We start from the raw sequence: 6,727 nt of genomic DNA on the forward strand, positions 1-6,727 counted from the left end.
AGATTTTGAATGCTCCCAATACAAAGAAATGGTAAATGTTTGAGGTGATAGATATACTAGTTACCTCGCTTTTCATTACACATTGTATACACATATCGAAATATCACATCTACCCCATAAATATGTACAATTCTTATGTGTCAATTAAACATTTGAAGAAGGAAGGAAAATTTGACACAATATTACAACATGAGTGAATCTTAAAGATGTTATTCTAAATAAAATAAGCCACACACAAGAGGACAAATACTGTACTATTCCAAGATTAAGAAAGTAGAATGGTGGTTATCAGGAGCTGGGTGGAAGGTAGAAATTGGGTGTTCTTGTTTAATGGGGACATAGTTTTAACTTGGAAGGATAAACATGTTCTAGAGTGGATGATGGTGATGGTTGCACCACAATGTGAATGTACATAATGCCACACAACTGTACACATAAAAATGGCTAAGATAGTAACTTTCATGTTCTGTATATTTTACCACAATAAAAAAATATATAGGTAAAATTTCTTTCTTTTCTTTTTTTTTTTTTTGAGACAGAGTCACCCAGGCTGGAGTGCAGTGGTGCAATCTCGACTCACTGCCACCTCTGCCTCCTGGGTTTAAGTGATTCTCCCGCCTCAGCCTCCCGAGTAGCTTGGACTACAGGTGCCCACCATCAGGCCTGGCTAGTTTTTGTATTTTTATTACAGATGGGATTTCACCATGTTGGCCAGCCTGGTCTCAAACTCCTGGCCTCAAGTGATCCACCTGCCTTGGCCTCCCGAAGAGCTGGAATTACAGGTGTGAGCCACCATGCTCTGTCCATAGGCAGAATTTCTGTTTCTGACCATGATGCAGTCACAGGAACTAGCTTTGCCCTCCCACACTAAACAACCAAACAACCAGACAAAACAACTATAAAAAAAAAAAAGACAATGATTTTTGGACACAGAACAACAGGCCACACAGAGCAGAGATCCTTTAAAGAAGGGAAACAAATGGGCAAGCCTTACCACGGTCCTCACTTACCACCTAGAAATCCTTTCCAGGCTACGTTCCAGGGAAAGCTGACCCAAACAGAGCCTGCTGTTCCCTCAAAGGAGGAGACAGAGCTGAGAACCCAGGGAGGCCCAGGCAGCTAGAATTGTAGGGCAGAGTTCAACGAGGCTTCCCCTGGAGACTTCCATGGAGTACTGATGGATGTATGCCTGCAAGACAACTACCAAGGCCAGGAAACTCCCACCAGAAAGGAACAGGCAGAAAAATGTGTGAGTCTCAGTGGGCCAGGAACAGATTGTGTTCTCACCAGTCCAAGTAGAGAAACTTTGTAATACCCAAGGCATCAGGTAGAGTACTCAGAAGGCTATTGCCACAAGAGCAAAGTAAAATCATCCCTACACCAATGGCCATCCTGGTTTCCCCTGACAACGCTTTAAAGTAAACCTCAAAAAGGATCAGGCTGTTTCCAAGTAACACAATGGCTTCCAAGGATAACACTCAAGAACATGTAAAGGAATATAAAGTTATCCGGCACCTACAAAATAAAATGTACAATGCTGGCATCCAATGGAAAAGAATGCAAAGTAATAGAAAAATATGACCCAGAATCAGGAATATCAATCAATAGAAACAGACCCAGAAATGACACAGATGATAGAGTTAGTGGACAAAGATGTTAAAAAGTTATCATATTTTGTATGTAGAGTTAGTCGACAAAGATGTTAAAAAGTTATATTTTGTATGTAAAGAAGGTAGAGGAGAACATAAGAATATTGAAAAAGAGGCATTGGAAGTTGTAGAAAAGAAGACACAAATTGAATTGATAGAGTTTTTTTTAAAGCTTAGGATGAAGTGTAGATTACACTATAGAAAAAAAAATGTAGTGTACCTGAAGACACAGAAATGCAAGCCACACAAAATAAAATAAAGAAAGTAAAAAGATGGGGGAAGGGGAGACTGACCAGAGAATTAGCATTGCTGGGACAAATTCAAATGTCCCAATCTACATGTAATTGGAGTCCCTGAAGGAGAGGCAGATGGGAAAAAATTGAAGAAATTATGATTGAAATGTTTCCAAATTCTATAAAAACTATAAACCCACAGATACAAGAAGTTTGAAGAACCTCAACCACTGTACATCATAGTAAAATTGCCCAAAAGCAGTGATATAGAGAAAACTTTAAAAGCATTCAGCATAAGGGAGGGAGAAATGCTTTATGTACAGAAGAACAAATGTAAGAATGAGAGCCAAATTCTTATCAGAAACAAAGTATGCCAAAAGATAATACAGCAACATCTGAAAGTGAAAACAACTGTCCATCTAGAATTATTTACCCACCAAGAAAAATTATCTTTCAAAAATAAAGGCAAAAAGGAAGACCTTTTCAGATACACAAAAGCTGAAGAAGTCCATTGCCAGCAGACCTTCACTTGCAAGAAATGGTCAAGTAAGCCCTTTGAGCAGAAGACAAATGTTAACAGATAGAAATCTAGATGTATGCAAAGAAACGAAGAGCACCAGCAATGGTCCATATTGAATAAATATAAAAGGCATTTTCTCTTATTTAAAAAAAAATCTCTTTAAAAGATAATTGACTATTTCAAGTAAGCTTAATAATGAGGCTTAAAGTATATGAAGAAATGAAAGGCATAACAGCAATAGCACAAAGGCTGGAAAGGGAGAAACAGGAGTACAGCTTGGTAAGATGGTTGTGCTGTATGGGAGGTAGTCTAATATTACTCAAAGACAGACTGTTATAAATTTAAGATTTATACTGAAAGTCCTAAAGCAACCTCTATTTAAAAAATATATGTAGCAAAAGGCTGGGCATGGTGACTTACGCTTGTCATCCTAGCATTTTGGGAGGCCAGGGCAGGAGGATTACTTGAGCTCAGGAGCTCGAGACCAGCCTGGGAAAAATAGTGAGACCTCATCTCTTTAAAAAAAAAAAAAAGGATCAAATTGATAAACCACTCTCCAGACAGATCTGGAAAAAGAAAGAGAAAAAAGCAAATTGCCAATATCAGAAATAAGAGAGAAAAAGGATATCACTGAAAATACTGCAGACAATAAAATGACTATGAGAGAATATTATGAGCAACTTTCTATAAATAAACTCAATAATTTCAATAAAATGGAAAAAGTCCTTGAAAGACATGAACTGCCAGATCTCACTCAAGAACAGGTTATCCAAATAGCCCAGCTTCATATCTATTAAAGAAATGTAATTTGCTGTTTAAAATCTTCTCACAGAGAAAATCCCAGGGCCACTTGGCTTAACTAGAGAATTCCACCAAGCATTTAGGAAAGAAACAAAATCAAGTTTACACAAATTCTTTCAATAACCTAAAGAAGAGGAACATTTTACAACTTATTCCATGGGGAAGTATTACTCTGATACCAAAATGAGAAGACAGTATTACAAAAAAACTACAGAGTAATATATATTATGAACACAGATGCAAATATTCTTAAAGAAATCGGAGTATATTGAATCAAACAATATGCAAAAAGAATAATATGCCATGACCAAGTGGAGTTATAAAGCAATGCAAAATTGACTTAACATTTGAAAATCAAATAATGTAATTCACCATATTGGCAAATATAGGAGAAAACCATATAGGGTCATCTCAATAAATGCAGGAGATTCATCTGTCAAGATCTAATATCTCATCCTTATAACTACTCTCAGCAAATTTATATTAGAGGGCATTTCCTCAACCTGATAAAGGGCATCAACAAAAATATCTACAAATTAACATCACATCTAATTTTGAAAGACTGGATGCCTTCCTCCCTAAGTTCTGAAACAAGACAAGGATGTCTGCTCTTAACACTTTTATTCTATGTTTATTGGAGGTTCCAGCTAATGCAATAGAGCAAAGAGAAGAAATAAAAAAATATAGATTTGAAAAGCAGAAGTCAACTGTCATATTTACTGATGAAATGACTCCCTAAATTTAAAATCCTAAGGAATTTACCAAAAAAGCCACTAGAACTAAGAAGTGAGTTTGGCAAGCTTGCAAGATATGGGTCAGTACAAATGTATTACATTTCTATATATTAAAAACAAACAAAAAGACATTGAAACTTAAAATCATTTACAATGTCTTCAAAAAAGATAAAATACTTGGGATTAGATTTGACAAAAGATGTACAAACAACACCAAAAACAACCAAACAGTGCTGAAAGAAATAAAGAAGACCTATGTAAATGGAGAGATATACTATATTCATGGATTAGAAGACTCAATGTTGCTAAGATGTCAATTCTCCCCAAATTAGTGTACAGATTCAATATTATCCCAATCAAAATTTCTATAGGTCTATTATAAAATTTGATGAACGAGTTACTAAATTTATATTAAAATGCACCTAGAATAGCCACGCAGCGAAACCTTTTTTAAAAAGGATAAAATCAGACAACTTAAACCATCTGATTTTAAGACTTATTACAAAGCCACAATAGTTAAGACAACTATAGTATTGATGTAAATATAGACATACAGGTCAATGCAACAGAACAGAGGCCCAAAAGGGACCCAGACATATATAGCCAATTGATTTCCACCAAAAGTTTCAAGGTAAACCAATGAGGAAAGAATAATACTTTAAATAAATAAAGCTAGGAAAATTGAATAACCATATACAAAGTTAAAAAAATGAGCTTCAATATTTCACACCACATGAAAAATTAACTCAAGGTGGAGCATAGTCCTAAGTGTAAAAACTAAAACTACAAAACTTCTAGAGGAAATTCTAGTGATCTTGTTTGGCAAATATTTCTTAAATACCACACAAGGCATGAAATGTAAAAGAAAAAAATAAACAAATTGGAGCCTTTTTGCATTAAAAAAATGCTCTTCAAAATAGACCTATAAAGTTTAAAAGATACGCCAAATATAGGGGGAAAATATCCAAAAAGCATATATCCAGGAATGAACTTGAATCTAGAATGTAAAAAGAACTCCTACAGTTCAATGATCCAATTAAAAATGAGCAAAATATTTAGTTACATACTTTATCAAAAAAGATGGCAAGCAAGCACATTAAAATATATTCAGCATTATTAGTTATTATGGAAATGCAAAAGAAAACCATAATGAGATACCATGATATATCCACTAGATTGGCTAAATTAGACGGATTATATTAAGGGTTTCTTTTCTTTCTTTCTTTCTTTCTTTCTTTCTTTTTTTTTTTTTTTTTTTTTTGAGATGAAGTCTCACTCTGTTGCCCAGGCTGGAGTGCAATGGCGTGATTTCAGCTCACTGCAACCTCCACCTGCCAGGTTCAAGCATTTCTCCTGCCTCAGTCTCCTGAGTTGCAGAGATTACAGGCACCCACCACTACACCTGGCTAATTTTTGTATTTTTAGTAGAGATGGGATTTCACCATTTTGGCAAGACTGGTCTCAAACTTCTGACCTCAAGTGATCTGCCCGCCTTGGCCTCCCAAAGTGCTGGGATTACAGACATGAGCCACTGTGCCCAGCCTATTAAGTGGTGAAGAGGATGTGGAGCTTCTAAAACTTTCATATGCTACTGGTGGGATTATAAAATGAATAAGCCACTTTGGAAAATGGTTTGGCAGTTACTTAAAAATGTAAACAAACACCTATCATATGATATAGCCATTTCACTTCTAGGTATTTACTCAAGAAAAATGAAAGCATATGGCCACATAAAGATTTGCTCACAAATATAACTTTATTCATAATAGTGAGACTCTGGAACCAATAAATGTCCATCAACGGGTGAACAGATAAACAAATTGCAGTATACCCATACGATGGAAGACTACTTAACAATGGAAAGAAAAGGAATGAACATATGCATGAGAGTGTCACAGGATCCTCAGGGTATCACTTTTCCAGCCAGAAGCCTCTGTAGTCGGGAGCACCTTGGTCTGGGTTTTGCTCAGGCCCTCTGGGCTCATTCTGCCCACTCGGCCTGGCATGCTACACTCAGCTTGTGCTGACAGACTGGATCCCATGCCTGCCAAGGGGTAGCCAGGTGTGGAGCGGCAAGTGGTGTGTGAGTGAGCATGTGCAGGATCTAGCCACTGCACACAGCCAGACGTGTTAGATGCTGCAGCAGGGCAGGCAGCTCCAGGCTCTGGCACAGGCACTGGCTCCATGCAAGCCTGCAGCTGGACCAGTGCACCACAAGCAGCTTCCACTATGGACACCCACATCTGGATGAGGGGAACAGGGTGGTGCCCAGAAGCTTGGAGACGCCAGAAACCACAGAGCCCCAAAGAGCATGTCACAACCCCTAGGTCTGGGCTCCCTGAAGAGTCCTATCTCTTCATTCCTCATTGCTCACAATGTGGCAAGAGGAGAGGGTGTGTTTTAGCCCTGTTTGTGTTACAGCTCTTTCAGTCCCACCATTCAGCAGGCCCCAGGGTCCTGTCTCATGTCTGGGAAGAATGAGATATGCAGACAACTGGAGGGTGAGCAAGGTAAAGAGGTGCTTTATTGAGTGACAGTACAGCTCCCAGGAGACCTAAAGTGGGTAGCTCCTTTCTGCAGTCAGGTTGTCCCAACGTCTGCTCGAGTCTGGCTGAGTCTGAGGTTTTTATGGGCTTCAGAAGGGAGGAAGTGTGTGCTGATTGGTTCATGGGCAGCCATGGGTGGGTGTGGAAAAAGCACCATAAGTTCTCACTCCAGACTGTGGACTCCACCTGGAACTGACAGCCCAGCCCCCATGCTTCAGGTCTTCCCTGGCTTTAAGGTGGGGCT

General features: G+C 38.2%; 1 annotated feature.

Annotated features, from left to right (window-relative positions):
• Positions 5,545 to 6,462: an enhancer, noted in NCBI's record as "H3K4me1 hESC enhancer chr14:101814370-101815287 (GRCh37/hg19 assembly coordinates)". NCBI's record gives its function as "activates a minimal SCP1, AML or CMV promoter by ChIP-STARR-seq in naive H9 embryonic stem cells {active_cell/tissue: H9 hESC(naive)}" and the evidence as "EXISTENCE:reporter gene assay evidence [ECO:0000049][PMID:30033119]".

Source organism: Homo sapiens, chromosome 14 (assembly GCF_000001405.40).
Source record: "Homo sapiens chromosome 14, GRCh38.p14 Primary Assembly".
Lineage (NCBI taxonomy): Eukaryota > Metazoa > Chordata > Mammalia > Primates > Hominidae > Homo > Homo sapiens.